General features: G+C 36.4%; 1 long non-coding RNA gene across 2 annotated transcripts in view; it reads left to right on the top strand.

Annotated features, from left to right (window-relative positions):
* The first annotated feature begins 1,030 nt into the window (after positions 1-1,030).
* LOC105377171 (uncharacterized) overlaps positions 1,031-24,569 on the top strand; it is a 183,241-nt gene continuing 159,702 nt past the window's right edge. For both annotated transcript variants that reach the window (XR_940978.4, XR_940977.4), the window contains exons 1-2: positions 1,031-1,146; positions 7,998-8,096. This is a non-coding gene — a long non-coding RNA (uncharacterized LOC105377171). The remainder of the gene's footprint in view (positions 1,147-7,997; positions 8,097-24,569) is intronic.

Below are 24,569 nucleotides of genomic sequence, written 5' to 3'. Positions count from 1 at the left end.
GATGAGAATCTAGCTCACATTTGAGAAAGTCCAGTAATTAAGACCTACTGCAAAGGATATTTTAAAAAGTACCTAGAAGGATCTATTTCAGAAAGCAGGAAGAAAACACTGCTCCAAAAGATCATGAAAATTGAGCATCTTTAGATTTTTATTATGTCCCTACACTATGGGGTCAGGAAAAAAATATATAAGTATAGGAAACTTGTCCCTACATAGCCTCTCAGTAGTTAGCTTCTTGCCATGCCCTTGCTACAAATAGTCAAGCACATAGCTGCTTTTAAAATCCTTACCACACTTTGACATGAGCAAAGTATTATTAATTGACATTTTTTGTATGCTTTGTTAGTTCTTTTCTTATCTTCATAATTTCAGACTAAATAGTGAATATTTGAAACCTCCAGGGAAAAGTTTTTTTTGGAAAAACCCATGTCTTAAAAGTCCCCTCTTAAAATAAAAGAAAATCCTATTTTGTTTTATTTTCCAGATTTTGTTTATTTTGTTTTTCCTTAGGCATTGAGTAGGAAAAACTTGAAAACTGCCTTGGGTGGCCTGCTTTTATTGCCTTATCTGGCCCCACCCACATCCTGCTGATTGGTCCACTTTACAGAGAGCTGATTGGTCCACTTTACAGAGAGCAGATTGGTCCATTTTACAGAGAGCTGATTGGTCCATTTTGACAGAGAGCTGATTGGTGCGTTTACAATCCTTTAGCTAGACGGAAAAGTTCAAGTCCCCACCCTTCCCAGAAGCCCAGCCTGCTTCACCTCTCACTGGCACTCGCCCCAGGACTTTGCAGCACCTATCCCGGGCACTCTGGCATCCCAGAGGGTGCTCGTCCCCCGATCAAGCCCTGCAGGCGCCGACCGGCTGCACCGAGGGCGGGGCCCGCCGAGTCCGCGCCCACCTGGAACCTCCGCAGGCCTGCGAGGGCCGCGCGCCACCCCGGTTCCCGTCTGCGCCTCCACACCTCCCCGCCAGCAGAGGGAGCCGGCTCCCGCCTCGGCCAGCCCCAGAGAGCGGCCGCCACAGCGCAGCGGCAGGGTGAAGGGCTCCTCCAGCGCGACCCGAGACGCCGAGGCCGAGGAGGCGCGGAGAGCGAGCGAAGGCTGCTAGCAAGTTGTCATCTCTCAATAGTTTTCTGGAAAGGTAATTATGCCAGATCCACTAGGTTACCACACTACTAGCTTACTAGTGTCTGTGTGAGTTAAAGAACATTACAATAAAGTTTTTGTAAGTACCGTAATCCTTCGTATTTCTTCGTCTTTCTACATGAATAATGATCTCTGTTTATACCTGTATCTAGAATATATTTTCTTGCTACAGTCTTCCTTAGAAGAAGAAAGTGTTAAAATAAAAAAAATTTATTTGTCCTTTCCTTATCTAATGATAAGGAAGCATCTAGTGTATGTTTATCATATCAATGAATATCGTTTTCCAACACATAGCAATAAAAAATTGATTGTATATCATTACATGCAATTATTAGATATGCATTGTTTTAAAAAGAAATATCAAAGTGTTCTTAAATATTTGTCTATCATTTTTAACGAAAAATTCAGAGGTGAGGTACGTGAAGATTAGTGAAAGTGTACTGCTAATATTTTAGAATTTCAACATCTGTGTGTGTTCTGTTTCGTGTCTATTTTTAACCTTGTCTTTGGAAACATGATGTATATTTCTAAGGTGTTACACATTCAGAGAATACTTTAGCAGATATGGAAATTAGCCAACCCCATATATCTACTTTTCAATTCCTTAAAAATTTTGTATTCATTAGGAGCCCTAGGAAAATACTAGGTAGAAAAAAGAAAAAAGATGACTCTTAATACTACTCCCTCCCCTAATTAAAAGAAATATTTGAGTAAGTAGAAAATGCCAAAAACAAAACATTGGTTTGAAGTAGAACCATGAATTTAATTATCTAGATTTTTTGAGCTTTCCAAATTTCATCCAATGACTTCATAATCACCTAATTCTGCCATCCAAAGTAGCACCTTTGTCTTACATGTATTCTGTTCTCACCTTTTCTTTAGACTCTTTATATGCCAGAAGAAACCAGATGCTCCACACATTCTCTCCCTGAATCCTTGTAACATTTCTGTCATACTGGAGGGGTGAAATAATATTTTGTTAACAATATTAATCCATTATTTTACCCGCCTGCATTTTGCCCTATTCTTCTCCTCTATTCAAGCAAATGGCATGCTGTAAGCTCTTACCTGAGGGAAGGAATCTGGTAGAATAACATGCAGAGAACTATTTTGTTGATTTCAATACCTCAGCCTCAGAGTGTGAAAGTTTTCCTGAGCATTGATATATCGGCATTGTAGCCCAAAGCAGGCCGAACGTGAGAAGTGTTTCCACTCTTGGCTCTCCACTTTCTCCTTACTATCAAGCAAAGCAAAGAGAGAAAGGTGTGCCCTATTGTCTTGCACAACACCTAGAGAGGCAGCAAAACCCAAGAGAAGAATAGATCTAGACCAGGATTTCTCAACCTGGCTTTTACTGACATTTTGAAATGAACAATCTTTTGTTGTGAGGCTAGTCTATACATTGTAGGTTGTTTAGCAGTAATCCTGGCCCTTACCTAATAAATGTCAGTTTCACCCTCCACCCCACGTTGTGACAACCACAAATATATCCAGAAATTACCAAATGTCTCTTGAGTAGGGGTGGTGTGGCAAAAGCACCGTTAGTTGAGAACCACGTAAGACAAGGTAGATCAAACCTTGAAAAGTCCCAATACAAACTCCCTTTGCCTATGCTGCTGAGTGCTTAGGCCTGGTTCAATGTCTCTCGAAAATGCTTGAAGGACAATTTAGGTTTATAACTTCCCAGGTGAGCAAACTTATAAAGTAAGCCAGCTCTCAGTATGTATTCAAAATGTGCCTGTTATATTTATCCTGCCCAGGAAGTCATTAGCTTTCTTTTAAGACTGACCAACAAGGCATGTTTTTCTCTAGTAACTGAAGACAGATTACTGAGGACTAAATACTATTTTTGTAAAGGGAATTTATACGCATTGCCATATGAACTCTAGGGAGCTTAATACATATAATTTTAGCTAAGAGTTTTTGAAAATACTGTCTTGGAATGCGTTGTCCAATCCATTATTTTACTTGGTTTTACTTCTTAAAATTTAAGTTTTTGAAAATATTGTCTTGGAATGCGTTGTCCAATCCATTATTTTACTTGGTTTTACTTCTTAAAATTTAAGCAGTCTCTACCACCAGAGCATATTCAAGGTGATGACTAATAAAAACCACTACATAAAATAGCCACTCTGAACTGAAAGATAAAAAGAGATAAGAATTTGTATAGAAGAAATAGAAAATTACTTGTACCAGAGACTGCAAGTTAGCATTGCCCACCTGAGTTTCCTAGAAGGTAGGGAAAAATAAAAATGAGACATTAAAAAGTTATCATCCCATAATCAAATCATTTTTATGGTGATCCAGGAAGGCTAAAGGGAGAAATGGATTTTGGCTGGTAAGACTTTTGGAATCTTTTTGTTTTTTTTTTGAGACAGTTTCACTCTTGTCGCCCAGGCTGGAGTGCAGTGGCACAATCTTGGCGCACTGCAGCCTCTGCCTTCTGGGTTCTAGTGATTCTCCTGTCTCAGCCACCAGAGTAGCTGGGATTACAGGCGCCTGCTACCATGCCTGGCTAATTTTTGTATTTTTAGTATACACGGGGTTTCACCACGTTGGCCAGGCTGGTCTCGAACTCCTGAACTCAGATGATCTGCCCGTCTCAGCCTCCCAAAATGCTGGGATTACAGGCATGAGCCACTGTGCCCAGATGGGATCTTTATAATCACACTGTTGTCTACTCTGAAACAATAGGTTTACCCATGTAACCTCATCTTTACTCCTATTTAAAAATAAATAAATAAATAAATAAATAAAAGACAAGGATTAGCTGCTCTCTCATTTATTGACATATATATATAAAATATTTTTAGTTTGTGAAAAAGTCATTAACACACTGACAGCTCTATTTTGTTCATAATTAAATTTTATGAATTTTATGAATAGGAAATATGTGCATGGTAAAAATGTTCAAAAGACATAATTGTGTACAAAGTTAAAAATAAGTCAACTTTCCCTTCTTAAACCACTTCCCAGTTTCCTTCCCCAGAAGCAATCATTGTTACCAGCTCAAGTTTCTTTCCAGAGATACTTTATGCATAAACAAATACACACACACACACACACACACAGACACACACACACACATAATGTCTTTACACACATGGCATTGCCCTATATATAAAATTCTAACAAATGAAAAAGTAATTGGATTTTTGAAGTAAAAATTAACTTTGATTTATAAGCCAGATTTTAAATAAGACTCACATTTGACCATTTAACCCCGCTCCTGGGACACATTAATCTTGGGCATACAAAATAGGGACATATTCTGAGTCATGTTCCTTATTTTTCTGTTTTTTTTTTTTTTTTTTTTTTTTTTTGCTAGCCTGAATTTCTGTGCTTCTAGCTCCCTTTAAGTCCATTTCACTTATCTTTTGTAGTCCATATGTGGTGTTTCACCTGTGTGGACAAACACATCTCAGCTTACCCCAGCCACCCAGAGTCTGCACGCTTCAGTCACTCCCATTGAAGCTGGGTGAAGAATTTGGACATTTCTTCTGTTGCTCACAAATTAGTCTCTGCACTTTCTTACCCTGTTCTCCTGGTAAAGACCTGTGTTGCCACCAGATGTTCTACTCGCCGCTCTACTGGGGCATGGCTGGTGAAACCACGTGTCCTGTGTTCTCTGCAAAACTTAGAAGATGCTGATTCACCTTTTGGCTTCTCACAGGCTTTCTTTGCTAACCACCCAGTTTCCCTCCAGATTTATTCAGATTTAGTCTGTCACTTGGCAACAGCACTTGGAGGTTTCTTTTTTTTAACTGGACATTTACAAACATCTCGGGCATTTTGGTTGGACAACACCTATGTGCTAGGTTCTCTTTCTGGGCTGTCCAAGGAGGCATGTTGTTCCTTCAATAAAAAAGCTCCTTATGCATTCTACCTCACTAGGCCACCAGCCATGTCTAGATTTCTGTGACACTTGAAATAAACACAGCTTATCCTCAAAACTAAATTTCCCAACTATTTACACAAATGACCTCCTTGCACTAACCTTCATGTCCGCCTCTTTCTTTTTCCTCTCCTGTTTCCTTGTCTACTACTATTTGAAATAAGAGAAGAAGCCACAATAACTTCGGATTCTCCTCTTCACTTTACCTCGCAACTTCAGTTAAAACTCCTGGTTTTGCTAGATGTTTACATATGTTTATATTTAGACCAATTGATCTAACTTTGATTTCCTTTTTGCAGTAGGTAGACATGTTTTATAGTGATTGTTGTACAGACAGCCTCAGGATATTTTTGCTTTCATGGTAATCTAACGTGACATTTTCCAAAGTTATTTATCTATGTAGCACTTTCAAAATTGTACCAGTTGGTGGAATGCTAGCTAAGATCATGAGTTATGATTACATCTAGCAAACTACACTCAGCATACAAACTTAGATTTTAAAAAGTTTTCTATTAAAGTCACAAGAAAATATTTTGTTGATTTTAGTTGAATTCTTTTTTCATTTGGTTGCTAGTAAATCAGTATGTTTAGTTCCCCTTAATGTATCCTTTTAGCCTTTTGCCTTCAAAGTTTAGCTATAAGGTTTATAGCCCCAGTAACGCAGAGTTCCTCCTACAGCAAAATGATCATTTTTCAGTATTTCACAGCTGACTTTCTTGATAGAAAAACAATGGTCTTACCTATGTACTACACATCCAAACTGCATTTGGTTCTCCCAACAACCCTCTCCCTGGCCACCTCTTTGGCCTAGGGATGCTGTAATAGTCTTCTACGTTGCACAAAAAAATACCACAAACTATACCCACAGTTTCTTTTAGCAACCAAATGAAAAAAGAATTCAACTAAAATCAACAAAATATTTCCTTGTTAGTAATCAAGGCACAGTTTAGCCGGGTGCCCTGAGTAGGAGTTTACCATCATGGCAATTAAGGTGTCAGCAGCATCTTCATCTTCAGGCATAAATGGGGAAGGATTCGCTTCCAAGCCCCTCAGTGTGTTGAGAGAATTCATTTTCTGGAGGGTATAGGATTCATAGTTTGTTTTCTAGAAGGCAATAAGGAGAATAAGGCTTTCTTATGAGTCAGGTAGCAATGTCCAATCACTCCAATCTAACCTAATTAAATCATGACAGTGATATACCACCACTTTTGTCATATAGCATAAGGTAATCATATAGTGACATCTCATTGCCTTTGTCATACTCTTTTGGTTAGAATTAGTCACAGGTTCCTCTTACAGTCAAGGGGAGAGTGTTGGGGATTATACAAGGTGTGAACACCAGAAAGCATTGATCATGTGGCCACTTTAAAGTTTGTCGGCCCAGGTCTGTACATAAGTGCTACAGACTCTGCCCCTAGAAGGATGGACCAGGCGAAGAGACTTGTGCTTGGAAATGGTCTCAGGGCCCATTTGGTCATGGAATTCTGAGATCCAGTATACTTATACTATGTTTTAGAAGGTGAGCACACAGGCTCATGCCTCCATCACTCAATGGACTCCTCAGCCCAGGAGAGAGATGCAGTTAGAATAGGTCCAGAGTGGAACTCTTTAAGGTATAGGCAGGACACAAGGCAGAAACTTTAACTTTTCTGGGACTAAGATGTATTAGCCACAACTTTGAGGGCCTCACACTTGGGTTGTGTGTGGTGTCACTGCCCTAGGGCAAGATGTAACAAGTTGACAAGGGCTACCATCATTGAAGAGAACATCAAAGACTCAAAGGGCAGCAAAAGGATCTAAATGTGAATGTGAGGCCCTCTGTTTTACCTTCATAAAGACTCAGTAAGCTCTTTTGCAGAGCAAGATGGCATCTTAAGAGGACATAGAAAGAAGCAGCAGAGTGAAAGAGTCAGCATTTACCTGAAAGGGATTGTTTAAAGTCTGCATATACCAGAAGAGACAGTGAGAAAAATGGATAAGATAAAGTTTTGCTATTGTCCAAGAGCTTGAGAAACATGTGAGGAAAATTGCATCAGCTATGGAAAATTAAGTTGCATTTTATTTGCTTTTTTGATGTGATGTGAATAAGTATTTTGATCCTATCAAAGGTTGATATATCAACCTTTGACTGAGAGTGTCCAACTCAGTGTGTGTTGGTAATTTCATCCTTGGCCATTCATGAGTCCCTCCCTGAACCTGAGCTATCCTAGGGTTACAAAGTAGTGTGCAAGGACAAGTTATTTGAAAGTTCTTGGCTGCCAGTGGTATGTGAATATGCTTTGATCTGCTTCTATTACCTCAACTCTTTTTCTATGTCCAATTCTATGTTTTCAGTTCTGTCTACTATAAATCCTGCTGTTTATAAGATGATTTTTAATTTCATGTTTGTTTTTTCTTTTTTTCTGCTGACCTTTCATTTACTTGGCTTATTTATCTCCCTTTTTTATTATTTTTATTTGATTTTTATCTTTTCTTTGATATTTTGTCTTAAAAAGGCCTTTTTGGCCGGGAGCGTTGGCTCACGCCTATAATCCCAGCACTTTAGGAGGTTGAAGTGGGCAGATCACTTGAGGCCAGGAGTTTGAGACCAGACAAGCCAACATGGCAAAATCCCATCTCTGCTAAAAATACAAAAATGAGCCAGCCATGTTGGCGCACACTTGTAATCCCAGCTACTTGGAGGCTGAGACATGAGAATCGCCTGAACCCTGGAGGTGGAAGTTGCAGTGCGCTGAGATTGTGCCACTACACTCCAGCCTGGGGGACAGAGTGAGACTCTGTCTTAAACAAACACCTTTTTAAGATTTCCTTAATGTCATTTATATAAAATATTTTTAATTTTTTCTTACAAACTCTTATTCTAATAGATAACCCTTCATTTGTCCTCCTTTTATGTTAAAATATCTCTAGTTTTGATGCAGATTCCATTCTGATTTTGTCTCATTTTCTAGTGGGGCCAAAAGAGCTGTTTGGATAAGCTCTTTGCCGAAGAATAACGTGAGAAGGAATTATGTCTCTGAATACTTTCTTACCCCATCAAATATGAGCAGGTATGTACACCATCATCAACTCATTGCTTTGAGCATTTCAGGTGAAACGGAAATAAGCTTGGACTAGAGTGAGTAATTCTCTCATAAGCTTTTGTTTTCAATTACCTTAGATTTTTGCATTTAGTGTTTCAGGCTCAGCTGTTGTGACACTGATTGTCCCCTTCACTCCTTCTATGTGCAGCATGTTCTTGTGAATATGTGTTGACGACTCATTTGGCCTCATTTTCTGCCACCCGGCAGTGTGGAATAAGGCTCAAGGAGTTTTTCATAACCCATTCAGATCATTAAGCTTCTCATCTCAAATAAATGATGAGTCATCCTCAACTATTTAGCGTTACAGACATTTCGGTGTGTACCATCTAGTTTGGTACATATTAGCATATAGATGTAGATGTAGATATAGACAAAGAGACACACAGACACAGGCGCAGATGCAGACATACAGAAACAGACACAGATATATAGAGATCTAGTTTAGGCCTCATGACACAAATTGGTCCCAAGATCACTGTTTTGGGCAGTTATTTATAGATTGAGGCTTGCAATCAGGTTGGTTTTTCATGCCTTCAGTGAAGATAGAAAATCCTTATTTGAGCTTCATGCATTTTGTAGTTTTATAGGTTTCAGGGAAGAAAGTGACATAGAAATGCCTTTATTCTGTCACCTCTAACAATAAGATTCTTTTACATATATTTAAAAAATTAAAACTAAATTGTTGAAGAAAAACAGATCTTACCTAAAATTTCTTGTTAAATGTTTATGGCATTCTTATCGACATAAAGGACAGTATGGTTTAGAAAGTTATTTAAAGGACCAAGTGGGCAGTCTGGAAGGCCTTAATTATCATAAACTATGTGCAGTAAGTGATGGGTTTTTAATGTTCCAAATGAGCCTACAGTGCCAGACACCGACTGACACCTGATTCATTCATATTAAAGTCATTTTTCCTTAGCTACCATTCTTAAGCAAATTCCATCTTCGACTATATATAGTTATTCTGGGTGATCTAAGAAGCAGTATACAAGGATCTCAGAGGTCTTTACTGCCTGTTCACTAAAGGAAAAAAAAATGTACTTTGAATAAGGTTACCTGGTCTTTTATCTCTGTGCAGTCAAATGCACAGGAAACTTCTCCTTAGGGTGCATGGCAAGAGGTAATCCAGGGCCAAGGACTTAGTGAGCTCCATGAGAAAACTCCCAGTAATTTATTCTGAGATTGAATTTAAAGATATGAATGCAGAGACCACAAGCTGCTATTTTAATTCGATGTATTTGGACCACTTACTGTTAACTCTTTATTTGTGAGACATTAACTTACCTTCCTTGATGTTACTGGTTTTATTAGAATAAGGTACATTTCCATGATGTATCCTAATAATATATCAGCAGAAAGACAAATTTTAAAATGACCAGTCTGCTACTAGGTTTAATACGTATTTATTATAATAATCCCTTTTCTTTCCACAAATGAGAGAGCAAATATTCATGTACTCATTTCTCCTCCACTGTAGTGTGGCACAGTACATAATATTACATTAATACTCTCATGCTTTTAAATTAAGATTTGAGTTAGTAAGTCCCATTTTTATTATCTTGCATGAACATTAAGAAAAACCATTTGTGCTCTAGTTTATGATTACCATCTTATAGATAAAAAAATTAAAGTTCAAAGGTATTAGGTAACTCCCCAAACATTACATTGCTAACAAGTAGCAGCACTGGGTTTCTAAATAAGCTAACTATAAGCTGTAGCATAAAGAAGTCTTCTGTATTTTGAGAATTGTAGCCAGAGGAAATACTATAGGAGAATAAAGCTCAATTTAACACACATCTTGTGAAAGACATTGAAAATAGGCACGAGAACTAGCTAGTTATCCCATTTCCCACTGTTAATGGGTGGTTGCTAGTTGCATTGAGAATAATATTCTGTTTTAAACTTGTACAAGAACTTATTGTTTAAGGTAACTGAGTGTAAAGCAAGAATATTACATTGAGTCATAATAACCAAATCCATAAGAAAAACCCATCTTTATAATCCTTTCATTGTTTGTAACTAGAGATGGACCACACTTCTCAGAGAATGTGTCATTAATAGTTTTACTCAATATTGATATTAGACTTTGCTTATATTCCATGCCTAACTTTATAATATATGAAGATAATTATATCTGCCTTATAGTACTTTATAGCCTCTTAGTATGGAATGAGTCTTCTTGTTCAATATCATTTAAGTGTAAGACTAAATTTTAGCGGTTGGGGGATGGAAACAGAGATAAAAGGGGAAGGAATAGCAAATAGGAAGATTTCTATCCATTTGTCAAACTCTTAAAGGCATCTAACACACTCCTCTGAGTTGAAGGAGTCTTAAAATCACAAAACATTAACAGGGTAGAATGATAATGAATTCATAGTTGCTGCCACACTTTTATCGTATAACTATAGGTATTAAACCAAAATGGAAAGCTATAGCTTCCATTTCAGCTGTTTACTGTGTTCTCATTCTGACTGAATCATTCCCTCAACTGGATATACTTGAGTTTATTGTTCTCAAAAGCCTATTTTTGTTGCTTCATTTATAGTTGACCATTCTCTCTTAGGAAGGGCATTAAAAAGTCAAGATATTAAAGTAATTAAGTGATCTACTTAAAAGTGTTTATTCACTCTTGTTTTCATAATTCTTTAATTTATGGACTAAATGTACTGTGTACTAGTTACCTATCGCTGCATAACATATTACCCCAAAATCTAGCAGTTTAAGTTGATACAGATTTATTATTTCACATGTGGGTCTGGAGTCTAGGTGTGGCTTATCTGGGTCCTGTGGCTCTGGCAATCTCACAGGGCTGCAGTCATCTCAAGGCTCTTCTGTAAAGAATCCCCATCATTGGCAGGACTCAGTCTCTCATGAGCTGTTGCCTGGAGGCCTTTCTTACTTCCCTGTTCTTTGAGCTTTTCCAGAGAGCATCTTACAACATATCAGCTAGCTGAGGAGAGGGCATAAAAGGGAGTACCAGTAAGAGAGAATGCTAGCAAGATGGAAGCCACAGAATTTTGTAACCTAATCAGAGAAGTGATATCTATCACTTTTGACCTATTCTTTGTTACAAGCAAGTCACAAAGGTCCAGTTCTTACTCAAAGGGAAGAGATTTTACAACGATGTGAATACTATTAAGCAGGTGGGAATTATCGTGAGCCAGTTTATAAAGTTGCCTACCAGGTGATACATGTTTATAACTTTCAGGAAAACAGAATGTGATTTCATTGTTTGTAACTTATCTCTTCCTTAATTTTAGACTATAAAACAAGCATATAGTGTCAGTCTCTAATGCCAAAAAGCAACAGTAAATATTTTCCTATTTTGAAATAATAGATATGTTTTACCACACTGACAGCAGGAGAAAAAAAAAAAAACTGAAGAAAATGGAAAAGTTTCAGTCTTGTGGTTTCCATAGAAGAAAAAGTCTCTGAAGTTTGTTATTTAAGAATCATATACGCAATTTTATAATCATTAAGTTTTTTATGTTTACTTGTGATGTTATATGAGATTTTTGGATTTAGTTTTATCCATCACATAATTATAAGACCAGGTTAATATTTAGCATATTATAAATAATACATGGGGCAAAAGTAGAGAGGCATTATTTGCTCTTACCTTAGTCAAAGATTGATTCTCTGATATTATAAAAAATACAGCTGAATTCTTGGCTCTGTAATTTTTTTGGAGATCTCACTATTCCATAAGTTGATTTATTTGAACTTTTCTTGGGGATAAGATTAAAGGAGTAAAGATCTACATGGACATCATTCACTTTCTCAAACACTTTCCAGTGTAATTGATATTAATACATATTCTGTCTTCTAAATATTTTTGGGAGTTTTGGCAACTGTTCACCAGCGCTATTGCTACTACCCTGTTTTATGACAGCACTGCCTCTCACATAGATTATTGCAATTGCTTTCTCATTTCTTTCCCTGATTCCACTCACCTGCCCTCACCCCACAATCTATGCTCAATAGAGCAGCCAGAATAATCCTCTTAAAATGTAAGTCAAATTATCACTTCTCTGTCAGTCTGTCCGTGCCTTCGCTCCTCACTCAAAGTACAAGCCTGTCTTTCAGAGGTCTATAAGACCCTACAGTTAGGGCCACCGTTATCTCTCTCACCTCATCTTATTATTATTTTGCCTCTTGATCACCAGGTTCAGTACACAATTTCTTTCTTGCAGTTTCCTAAATACCCCAGGGATGTTCCAGCCTTTGCATTGGCTGTTCATTTTGCCTGGAATGTTCTTCATCCAGATATTTGTTTGACTCATTTTACCTCCTCTTTCAAATAGTACTGTAATGTTTCATTTCATTACTACTGTGTGATCCTATTTAAAAATGGAATACCACATCCACTTGAATTTCTTTATCCACATTTCATTATTTTTTCTTCTTTTTCTTATTTTTATAATCTGGTAAATATTTGTTTAATTTTTCTGTTATTTCTCTGATTGTAAGCTCCATGCATTGAAGAGTTAGTTTGTTAGCCTAGTGACTAGAATACTGACTGGTACATTCTATAATTGGTACTCAAAAAATTTTTTGGGGATAAAATTTCCACTTTCTATGTTTAGTAAGATAATTGAGCCCATGTCCACTCTGCCCTACCTCTTCCACAAAGAGAAAATTTGCATTGCTTTATTTATTTACAACAACACAGTCATGCTAATTCTTTTACTTTTTTGAAATTGATTAAATGTACAGAAAGACCTAAATTTACATACGGGCTCTTTTCTCTGAATGGTGCATGGATTACGTAACCTGCTTTTCCTAGGATATCTTATATTCAACACATAGAAATACTAAATTCTGTGACACAATATTTTGGATTTATATCTAATAATTATACTGCTGACTCATAAACAAGTATTATAAGGATAAGGATTTAACTTTTTCTAGGTTCATACAATAATTAACACATAGTTGATTAAATTATAGTGCCTGACACTATATTTTCCTATTTTCTGCTATACACAAAAGCACACACATTTTCTAGTCTAAAGGCTGGGAAATAATTCTCTTCCTCTTTTTATTTCATTTCTTTTTCAGATTTTCCATCAGCAAGTAAAAGGTAGGGTTATTCACAAGTTGCCTGTTTTTAAAGGCTTCTCGGTCTTCATTATATCTTGCTTTAGTTTTCTTTTTTTTTATTATTATACTTTAAGTTTTAGGGTACATGTGCACAACGTGCAGGTTAGTTACATATGTATACATGTGCCATGTTGGTGTGCTGCACCCAGTAACTCGTCATTTAACGTTAGGTATATCTCCAAATGCTATTCCTTCTCCTTCCCCCCACCCCACAACAGGCTCCACTGTGTGATGTTCCCCTTTCTGTGTCCATGTGTTCTCATTGTTCACTTCCCACCTATGAGTAAAAACGTGGTGTTTGGTTTTTTTGTGCTTGTGATAGTTTGCTGAGAATGATGGTTTCCAGTTTCATCCATGTCCCTACAAAGGACATGAACTCATCATTTTTTAAGACTGCATAGTATTCCATGGTGTATATGTGCCACATTTTCTTAATCTGGTCTATCATTGTTGGACATTTGGGTTGGTTCCAAGTCTTTGCTATTGTGAATGTGCCGCAGTAAACATACGTGTGCATGTGTCTTTACAGCAGCCTGATTTATAATCCTGACCTGAGTTCCCACTGTGCCTTGACCTGGTACTTTGGTAGGATTCTCTAAGAAAGATTAGATTAAACCCAACAAGAGCAAATGTAATCAAAACAAATGTGATCAATTGTTCTAATTTTAGGTACAGAACCCTACTTAGGTTACATAAGATAGAAGTTACATAATTTGACTTTAGTGATTTTAATTGGCAAGAAATTACAATACAATGTGGTTTTTAAAAAAGGTAATTCTACATTTAGATTACACTAATTGTAATATAATACGTAGAATATATGAAATGTTGATATGATTATGTCCTATTCTGCATGTAGCTGTATGGATTTAGTGGCTTATATGTCAGGAAGGCTGATAACCTAGAGCAAATTGGTAAGAGAAAGTTTTACCACTGGGTGGGTTGCTTAATGACCTGTGGTGTAGGTGAGGAAGTATTTGGAGCAGATAGAGGAAAGAAGATATAAGAACTGTCTTCAAGGATGTTTTAGGACAGATGACTTAGAAGTTCTATATTTCTGGAAAGGTACCAAAAAATGGATGAAAGTAACAGTTTAAGTTTTGCTACACAGTTAATCCTTTTAACAATAAGAGACTTCGGAAAGAGGAATGTGTTGTTTAGTGGGGAAATGAGATCCGCATTGCAGGGCATGTTTGAGCGGAACTCCAGATGTTCAACATTAAATAGAACCTGAGGTTGATAACTTTTAGTTTCCTTCCAATCTCAAACTTCCACGTTTCTTAAAAGAGAAAGATAGAAGAAAGCCAATGGATAAAGACTGGAGTTGTGTTTAGTATTTAGATTATATTTATTTAATATGATAAACTCACTGCAATTTCCATTCCCCTTAATGTCATAGGAGAAGCAATCTAAAAAAGCAAATAAAACTTAAAAACTTGATGAAAACATACAGTGAAATATAGGCACCAGCAGTATTTTTAATTTAGGGGAAGGCAAAAAATAAATCAAGCAGCTAAAGAAGTCTGGACTCAAATCTCCAAATAATAAACTCAAGCTGAGAGAAGCCCTGGCTTCTGTAATATCACATAAGTACATGAGAGAAATTGTTGCTCACTGTGACCTTCATACAATCTGGACAAAGAAAAGGCAAGAACAGCCTGTATCCTGGTATAAATCACCACTCAGTATGTTGTGCTGTCCAGAAAGGCGGAACTGAAGGAGGTAAAGTATTAAAGAAAAAGTCATTAGATTTATAGGAGAAAAGTTCCAGCTGTGTGTCTGTTAAGATGGTATCAATGGGCTGACTTTGAAAATGTTTCAAAAAAGCAGGATTTTAAATGGTGATTTTTTTAGGAGCACATGTTCATTCACCTTGAAAGTTTTAATGAGAAAAGCAAGAACAACTAAATCATCTCTTGGCATGACTAGGCATTTCTAGAATCTTCTTTCCTAGTCATGGGTATGTGTCCAGGTCTTTGGCATTTAAGGACATTGTCCTTAATTGGCATTAAGACATTGTCACAGAAATGTCTAACATCGTTTTTCACTGGTTTCATTTACTTGATAAATAAATACATCAGGAAGAAAGAAACAAATATGAACAAAAAATGGTGTTTCTTCCATAGTATTGAGTGATTGTTTTCCTTTGGATCACAGCTCGGTAGAGACAGCAAAGAAATTTATCCTATTATAAAAACCAGAGATATTTTCAATATCTGTTTAAGTATTATATTATTGGGAAGGTTTAAAACAGACCCTAATAATTGAGGTAATTGAAACCGTTTACCCAATATAAGATATAGTGTCCTAAAGTGCCATCCACTCTAGGGAAAGCCCCTCGTCTCTGATTTATAGTTCTCTACCATTTTGCATTCACTTATGAGATGATAGGACCAACTCGTTATCATTTGTTTTTTCTTTAGCCATAGGAATACTTTTCCTTCATCTTTCTCTGTTTTACATGTAGGACTTATTTTGACACCCAAATCATGTATTGATGTTAGCCTTTTGAAAGAAAGGAATAAACAGACATGATAGCTTTATTTTCAAGATGCTGAAAACACCAAATCCATCTAAGATTATATATATGAGAGAAGTTGCCTGAAGTCTGTAATAAAGTGAAATTATCAATTGCAATCACAGAGAGGAAACCATTCTGGAATTGGGCTAACGTGTGCATTTGCAAGCTTGATTCTCTTTGAGTCTTTCTGGAAAATGCATTTATTAGTTTCCATTTAATATAAATTGTGCTAATAAGACAAGAAACTGGGAAAATATTCCTATGGCAAAATATGTTTTAACATGACATATATTTTTGCACTTTTGAGCTATCACGTTGTATTTGGATAGATAAGACATGATGAGAGTCTGCGCTTTAACAATGGCAGTAAAGTTGGCAGATTGTGAGAAAATTAGGTAATTAGAATAATCTTTTTTATACTGACTTTCAGAATTTCTTCTAGTCTCCCCCTTATTTAAGTGTAAGTTCCAGGTTATATGGCAATAAAATTGGGATGATATTTTGCAATCAGGATGAAAATATTTTTACTGTTTTTTTAAGTCCTTTAGTTATAGAACTTACAATGCCCTTTTTAATGTTTTGGGGGTAATTTTTATTTCTAACTTCGTATTCATGAAAATAAAAGAAATTGCCCAAGTGTATTAACAACCCTAGTTAATGGTTTTTATATGGGATTCAGAAAGAAGGAAAACTTGGCAAGTTAAAAATAGAAAGAAGAATGGTAAAGGTAAGGAAAGTTTAGGATATATTCCTGTAATTGGCTAGAACGATCACATTTGTCTCTCTGGGTCTTGAACCAAAGAAAGAAATGTGTTAAGAGAAGATTACAGACTTTCTTCCCTTTAAAAACCTTTCTTGAGAACTTTCAATTATTTAAATGTGTTATTTACCTTTTACTCCGTCCTCCTGCATGAACAGCCAAGCTTTTCTTTGTTTGGATTATAACAAGTCTCTAAATGAAGAGAAAGTCTGTGATACAGAACCCTCAATCATAAAATTATTAGCAAATCTTTCACTATGGTTCTCTTTTTTAACAACCAATTTCATATATTCTTTTTTTTTCACTTGCAGCCAATTTACTATCATATCACAAATCTGGAGCTCTCCCCTCAAAATCTTATTAAAATAGCAGTTTGAATCTCTTCTCCCTAGGTTCCTTATCACCAAGAAAACATATGCAATAGCAGAGATCACAGTGGAGCTGTCTTCTTGGATTACTAAAATTTCATTACTTCCGTAAAATTTGTCATGGCACATTTACAGATAGATAAATTATCATTGAATACTACACCTGTCAAAATAGATGATATGGGCTCCTTTGAAGATTGGACTAGGTAACCTCATTATCCCTTCAATCCCAACTTTCCTGAGATTCTGTGATAAGGCTGACATGAGGCCTTAAGGAGCTTCATTTCTGAGGAAGAATGTTGCAGGAACAACAATGAGGCAGCAGGTAGACCACCTAGAAGCCAGTTGAATTTAACCAGGAGGTAACTACAAGCATAACTAGACTTAGCAGAAATAGAGTGATTGTCTCATTCAGTGTGTTTACTTTTCCTAGATGTCTACTAAGGATCATAACCAGGCAAAATTGCGAATTATGAAAAAGTACTTTTTCATTTACACATTTTTAATGATTTTAATTAGCATGTTTTAAGAGTCTCTAAACTAGGGATTATGCTAAGTGCTTGGGTATTGGGGCACTGAACTGAAAGAGAACCATTCTGCCCACAAGAGCTCGTTAACTGTTTTGTTTCCATGCAGCATATAAAATCTGAGAAATAGGTATTCAGAGGTGAAGAGGGACAGAAAAAAGATCTCTAATTCAAATGTAGAAGTCCAGGAACATTCCTGAAGATATGACATTTGAGTTGATAGCTGCAAGAGTGGAAATCAGTCAGGAAGATGAGATATCTAGACTGTGGGGCATGAAAGAATGGATGCTTAGAAACCTATAAAATATACTACAAACTTCAAGTAGTTCAGTGTTGGGTAGTACTGAGCAGAAGCTGGGCTCCTAAAAGTGAAGAATTTTATAAACTAAGCCAAGGCATTTAGACTTTATCTTGGAGGCTATTGGAAGCTGCCAGTAGTATTTTAAGGAAAAAAAAATTAATAGGGACATTTTCCTTTAGCAAGGTCCATTTCAGTCATGAGAGTAGAATTTGAAGGGATAATAAAGTAGAAGTGAAGGATCAGTTCTAGTTCTATGTTGAAATCTGAGAGATAAAAGACTAAACTATGGTAGAGGTAAAGGAAATGAAGGCAAGTCCCTGGCAAAATTGTTACCAAAACAAGGGATACTTAGAAATCAGGGCACACAGGATTTAATAACTGTCTATTTAGATGGGGAGTAATTCACTAGGTAAACGACAGTTTCACTCTCTGAAGTAGACATAATATGAAGAGGAGCACTGATGACAAGTTTTTAACACTTTGTTTTTTATTCGTGTGTAGAACATTCCAGAGAAGATATCAAGGAATTATTTCAGGAGGTAGCAAAGCCTGGCAAGGTGAAGAAAATGTGACTGAAGAGATTGAATTAATGTGCTGACATTCACACCCTTTAACCTTAGAGATGTTATTGGTTCCTAAGCTTCAGTTTCTTTATGTGTGCAAGGAAATAATAATATCTACCTCAGACACGTTTCATTCTCAAACAAAGCTCTCTAGTAGAGAAAAGGAAAACTAGTTTCTTTGTTCAAGGCATCAACCACTTGTCAAGCCATCTCTAGATGTCCTATAGGATGGGCCCAGGGGAGCTATGTGCTGCCCACAGAGTAGTTATATCTGTTTTAATGAACTATGTCTAATAAATGAACTCAACTATCCAAAATTTCAGAACATAATGGGTTTTTAGATATATGTTCTCTTCTTCTCGTTTCCTATAATTATTCCAGAATTTTCTTGGTAACTAGCTAAGTGACCAGATGATGTCATCTACCTCATAGCAGTAAATCAACAGAGAAATATGTGAGGATTTTAATGACAGTTTTTAAAAAGGGTACAAAGTGAGAATTTCATTAGCCTTCGCTAAAGGTGATAGAAGCCAATTTTACTAGATTAAAACATTTTTAAATTTCTCTCAAGCTAACTGTATTAGTCTGTTTTCACACTGCTGATAAATATGTACCCGAGACTGTGTAATTTACAAAAGAAAGAGGTTTAATTGGACTCACAGTTCCACATGGCTGGGGAGGCCTCACAATCATGGCAGAAGCAAGGAGGAGCAAGGCAAGTCTTACATGGATGCCAGCAGGCAAAGAGAGAGCTTTTGCAGGGAGTCCTCCATTTTTTAGAACCATCAGATCTCGTTAGACTGATTGATTATCATGAGAACAGCACTGAAAAGACCTGCCCCCATGATTCAGTTACCTCCCACTGGCTCCCTCCCACAACAAGTGGGAATTCAAGATGAGATTTGGATGGGAGCACAAACCATATCACTAACCTTCAATCGATTTAATAAATTTTGGCCAACTCTGTTCAATGTGCCAGGTACTGTTGTACCTTTCCATTGGGTGGGAAAATAGGTCTCTGAGGAGATTACAGTTAAGTGGAGAGTTAAGTGATGAGAAGAAGCCTGACACAGAGAACTGGGGATCAAGTATTCTAAGCAGAAAGGAAAGCATGCTTTAGGCAGAAGCCAGTCCATTTGTTTTCAAATAAGAGAAAGGCCAGTGTATGCAGAGCTTCAGGGGGAGATCTGGTGGGAGATGAATTTGGGAAGGGAGCAGGGACAAAATGTATATGACCTTCTAGATCCTGGTAAAGAGTTGGATTTTTTGTTAAATAAAATTAACAAAGGCCGAGGTGGGAAGATCACGAGCTCAGGAGATCGAGACCATCCTGGCTAACGCAGTGAAACCCCATCTCTACTAAAAATACCAAAAAAAATTAGCTGGGCGCAGTGGCGGGCGCCTGTAGTCCCAGCTACTCGGGAGGCTGAGGCAGCAGAACTGCTTGAACCCAGGAGGCAGAGGTTGCAGTGAGCTGAGATCATGCCACTGCACTCTAGCCTGGGCAACAGAGCAAAACTCCATCTAAAAAAAATAAAATAAATTAAATTAAAAAACCATGGCTTAATGTTAACCAAAGAAACATGTAATTTAATAAAAGGAATTCTTTCCTGTTAGAAACTATCATTAAGTCATTTTTTAGCATCAGAGAAAATCCATAAAGAATGTTTATTTCCCCAGATTCAGCTGTACATTTGATTTTTTTAAAAGTCACACTTTAAAAATAACAGCAGATATCTGCTTTTCCCTCTTTTGCCTGTATTCCATCCACAAAAATATAATGGGCTGTGACTTGTTCAAAGCATTGAACTCTTAAAACTAAATTGCATTCCAACATTTTTATTTAAGAGCTAAGAAGTTAAATAAAACCATATTTTAATCTGAAGGAGAAAAAAGTACAAGGAATTTATTTAAATAAGATCATCAACATAAATCTAACCCATTTATAAATTGCAATAAACGGATTAACTGAAAAATCACTGGTGAAAGTTTGTTAACTGCAATTTCTGTAGAAAGAGGGAGGAAAGTGAAGAATGAATAATATTTTGACACAAAGCAATCATGGAGCAAAAGGTATTTAATAAAAGTAGGACAAGCTTTCTGATAGCATTTTATCTGAAACTAATCATTTAATTTAAACATGACATTCATTTAAATGTCAAAAATATCTAACACTTCCTACCAAAATTAGGACACAACATAAATATCCAACAAGAGGGGAATACATAAATAAGTTTTAATACAGAAGGTCCTTAATTATATTAAAAAATTTGGGCCAGGCGCAGTGGCTCACACCTGTAATCCCAGCACTTTGGGAAGCCGAGGCACGCAGATCACCTGAGGTAGGGAGTTTGAGACCAGCCTGACTAACACGGAGAAACCCCATCTCTACTAAAAATACAAAAATAAATAAATAAAAATAAATAAATTAGCCGGGCATGGTGGTGCATGCCTGTAATCCCAGCTACTTGGGAGGCTGGGGCAGGAGAATCACTTGAATCAGGGAGGTTGAGGTTGTGGTGAGCTGAGATCATGCCATTGCACTCCAGCCTGAACAAGAGTGAAACTCTGTCTCAAAAAAAAAAAAAATTGTAAGTGGAAATTGAACATTTAAAGTGAATCTATATAAATGGATACTAAAATGTCAAAAGATGTTATTTAGAAAATACTATTTGGAAATATCTTGAAGATAATTTAAAATCAACTACATTTTATTATATTTTGTTAACATTTAGATTATAAATGTCAGTATGTTCACATTATTAAATTGAATAAAAGTTATTCATGTGTGGCTTTTTTAGGTTTTAGCTTTAAAAAGTTTTTAATTCCAGTGAGTTGTTTAAAAGAATGATACTGTGCTCTTCATTTTACAAAGGACTTTAGCACTGTGTTCATAAATCAGGACATTTACTTTTCCAAGAGTGTCTCACAGGCTCCTAAACGATTCTAAAGCATCCAATGGCGTTATCATTCTTCTTTTCATATCATTGATTTGTCCTAAACATTACCATAAAACTTGAGAACCATTTTTTTTCCTACTTGACTTTTTCATTTAGATGACCAGTGATAGACATTTCAAAATTGAAATGTCTAAACTTGAATTTCTTATTTTCAGCATCCTTTCTCCGATCAAACCGATTAACTCTGATTCTTTGCCACTCGGTAAATGAGAACACAGCCTGTCCGCATGAGCAGAGGATTACCAGAGACTTGTCACCCAAACCCTACTCTCTTTCGCCCACATTCACCAAATCAATCCACCTACTTCTTTCTGTATCTACTGTTAGCATTGCAATATAAGCTGTGCTTATTTCTTGAATAGATTGCTGCAACCCCTGAATAGGGTCTTCATTTCCCTTCCCGTTCAATAATCCATTACCCTCTTAGGAGCCAGAGTGATCTTTTAAATAGCAATATTAAAATTTAAAAACATGGATGCTTTTCCAATAATTCAAAAACTTTTTATCCTGGACCACATGGCCTGATTTTCATTCACCTCTCTAATATGGACGCTCACCAAGTCCCACCCACCGCACACTTCTCTGTTCTTCTAAAACACATAAAACTTGTTCCTGTTGACAGTCCTTGAACTAAAAGTCTCAGACTGGATTTCTCTTCACCCTGTTTTTTTATTTTCTTGGCCTTGCTCCTTCTCATCATGTATGTTTCAGTTTAAGTATCGTCCCTTTGTAGAGGGTTTGCTGAACTACCTTTCTGTTGTTAATGCTCAGGCATGTTCTGTCATCACATTGCCCTGTTTGATTCCCCGGATAGTACTTGCTACTACCCCATACATTCTCATAAGACATGCAAGTGCTTCGGGAACAAAGATTTTGTCTGTCTTGTTGCTGTTGTACACTTAGTCTTAGACTACTACTTGGCACATAGACGCTATATGTATGTACATGTATATACATGTATATACATGTATATTTATGTACATATACATATGTAAATGTATATACAGATATATAGATAGACCCACATATACATACATATGCATATATGCATATGTGGGCATATCTTGTCTATCTGATCTAATGGTTATCTATATATCTGGATCCAAATAGATATTTGGATCCAGTTACAGCCAATGACATTCAAACGTCACCTTTGAAGTACCTCAGTATACTACATTTTATGGTGGTTAATTACATCTTGTAAAAATGTGCTATTTAAAAATATGAATATAATTTTGAAAAACTTGTCATACCAAATTTGTAGAACCGTGTAAAGATTGCTGGGTTTTCATTTATGGATTCCTATTTGAGAGACACTGAGTTAGCAGAGGTGTTTTTCCTCCTTCCTATGCTGCAAGATTCCTATTATATTTGTATCAATGTTTCTTTTTGATAAAAGGTCCAAATGCATTGCTTGTGAGACAGCTACTTTTGCCCTCTACCTCTGATCCTTAATTATTTGGCTTTCTATCTTCATATATCAAACTGCTTAGACCAATTGGAACACTCCTCTCTAGTTATAGTCCATCATTGAGCAATTTTTACTTTGGACTTTTTGACAGCTTGATACAAGTAAGCATCTATTAATATTGACCACCATCTGCACAACTTTAAATACAATTTAATGATGGTTGCAGTCTACATTTTACTAAGGGAAAGGCAGCTAATAAAACCAAAAAGCATGACAGGTGTTCTCAACTATTTTGAAGTCTTTTTGGTTTGCCCTCTAATAGGCATTTTCCTTTCCTGTTTAATGATGTTCCTAAGTGAGGGGAATAAAACCTCCCTCTCCCAATATCCCATTTGCTTTTTAATTCATTTGATTAGCAATATGATAACATTTAAGATAGAAAGCTTGAAAGTCACAAGAAACGAACCCACCAGACTATTTGTAAATCCTGAAAATGTTTTTGCAAAACCCTCATAACATTCAGAGAGTAATCATTTGTCTGTCGTGAAAGGGGGGACAAAGTAAAACTATAGTTTACTTAATTGGGATATATGTAATGTGAGGTTTGATAGGACTTTAAATGCTATTTGGCAGTAGTTCATGCTATTACCTACCCTCTATCTAGACATCACAAGAGCATCAATGTTATGTACACTTACAGGGAGGGAAAGAACATGAATACTACTCTTATTTTCATTTACTTACCCTGTTTGTATTATATACTTCATTTTCCTTAGACTTGTGTGTTCATTATACAAAGTTAACATAGATGAAAAATGAGTTCTTGGCTTAAAAAGTAGGGCAATGAGGTAAAAGGGGAGTAGATGTAAGATACATGAAGTTATAAAACAGACAAGGGAATTATAAATGTACATTGTTTTCCACCTAACAAATTCATTTGTCAGCAGGGGGAACTGTTTTGAGGGAGGAAGATTATTTTCACTGCATACGTGTGAAGTATGCATAATAAGTCATTTAAATCAAGGTTATACATTGTCTTTAGGCAATTATTCTCTTCAGTATTTGTCAAATGTAAAAAGCCAACTGTAAGCAGTTTTGAACTGTTACTTTGTTGCAATTATGCATGCCTTTGACAAAAGATAATGATTTATTTTCCAAAAAAAAAAAAAAAAAGGTGCTACAGGGTTACCTTGTGGAATTTGTAGTATAACAGGGAGAAATAATTAACCAAACAGGTACACAAGAGAAAGAAGGATGCTAGTGTACAATCTGAAATGAATCAGCTCATCTAGAGATTGATATATGCACTTAAGGTTTTTCATAATGACTTTGGGCTTCCTTGCTAGCATCTGGGCACAATATTCATCTAGGATGAAAATTTAATTTTGACCTTTTCCTATCCAATGAGACTACTTCTGGGAACAGAGATAGGTGGTACTATTTGTTTTCTTAATGCTGTTTAGAAGTTGACATTCAATGTGTAGAGGCCAGAAAGGATAAGAAAATAGATGATATAATGAACTCAAGCCTAAACGGAAAGGACAGGAAATAGTCATGGTCAATGTCAGCATGTCACATTGTGCACATGCTAGGGCATTCCTGGGGAGAAGCATGTTTTCCAAAGACGGTGTCAGCCAGGGAGTTTATCATGAAGTTCTTATGAAAGTCAAAGCCCAACAGAGAACCCTTCTGCTGATTTTTAAACTCACACTTATGGCTCAGAAAAGTTAGGTTTTTGTTAATTTGTTATTTTTTTAATAATTGAAAGAAAATTAAAAAATTAATAACAATGACATTTTAATCATTGTTGCACTTCTTATTTTACATGTGTAACACATACTTTTGCATTAGACAATGGGGCAATGAGGAAAGGTTGATCACAACAATAATAATAGCAGACACACTTTTTGTCTGTAAGTTCTTCCA

The sequence above is a fragment of the Homo sapiens genome, chromosome 3 (genome assembly GCF_000001405.40).
Source record: "Homo sapiens chromosome 3, GRCh38.p14 Primary Assembly".
NCBI classification, from domain to species: domain Eukaryota; kingdom Metazoa; phylum Chordata; class Mammalia; order Primates; family Hominidae; genus Homo; species Homo sapiens.
The sequence above is the reverse complement of the archived record's forward strand: the minus strand, read 5'-3'. Positions and strand labels throughout refer to the sequence as shown.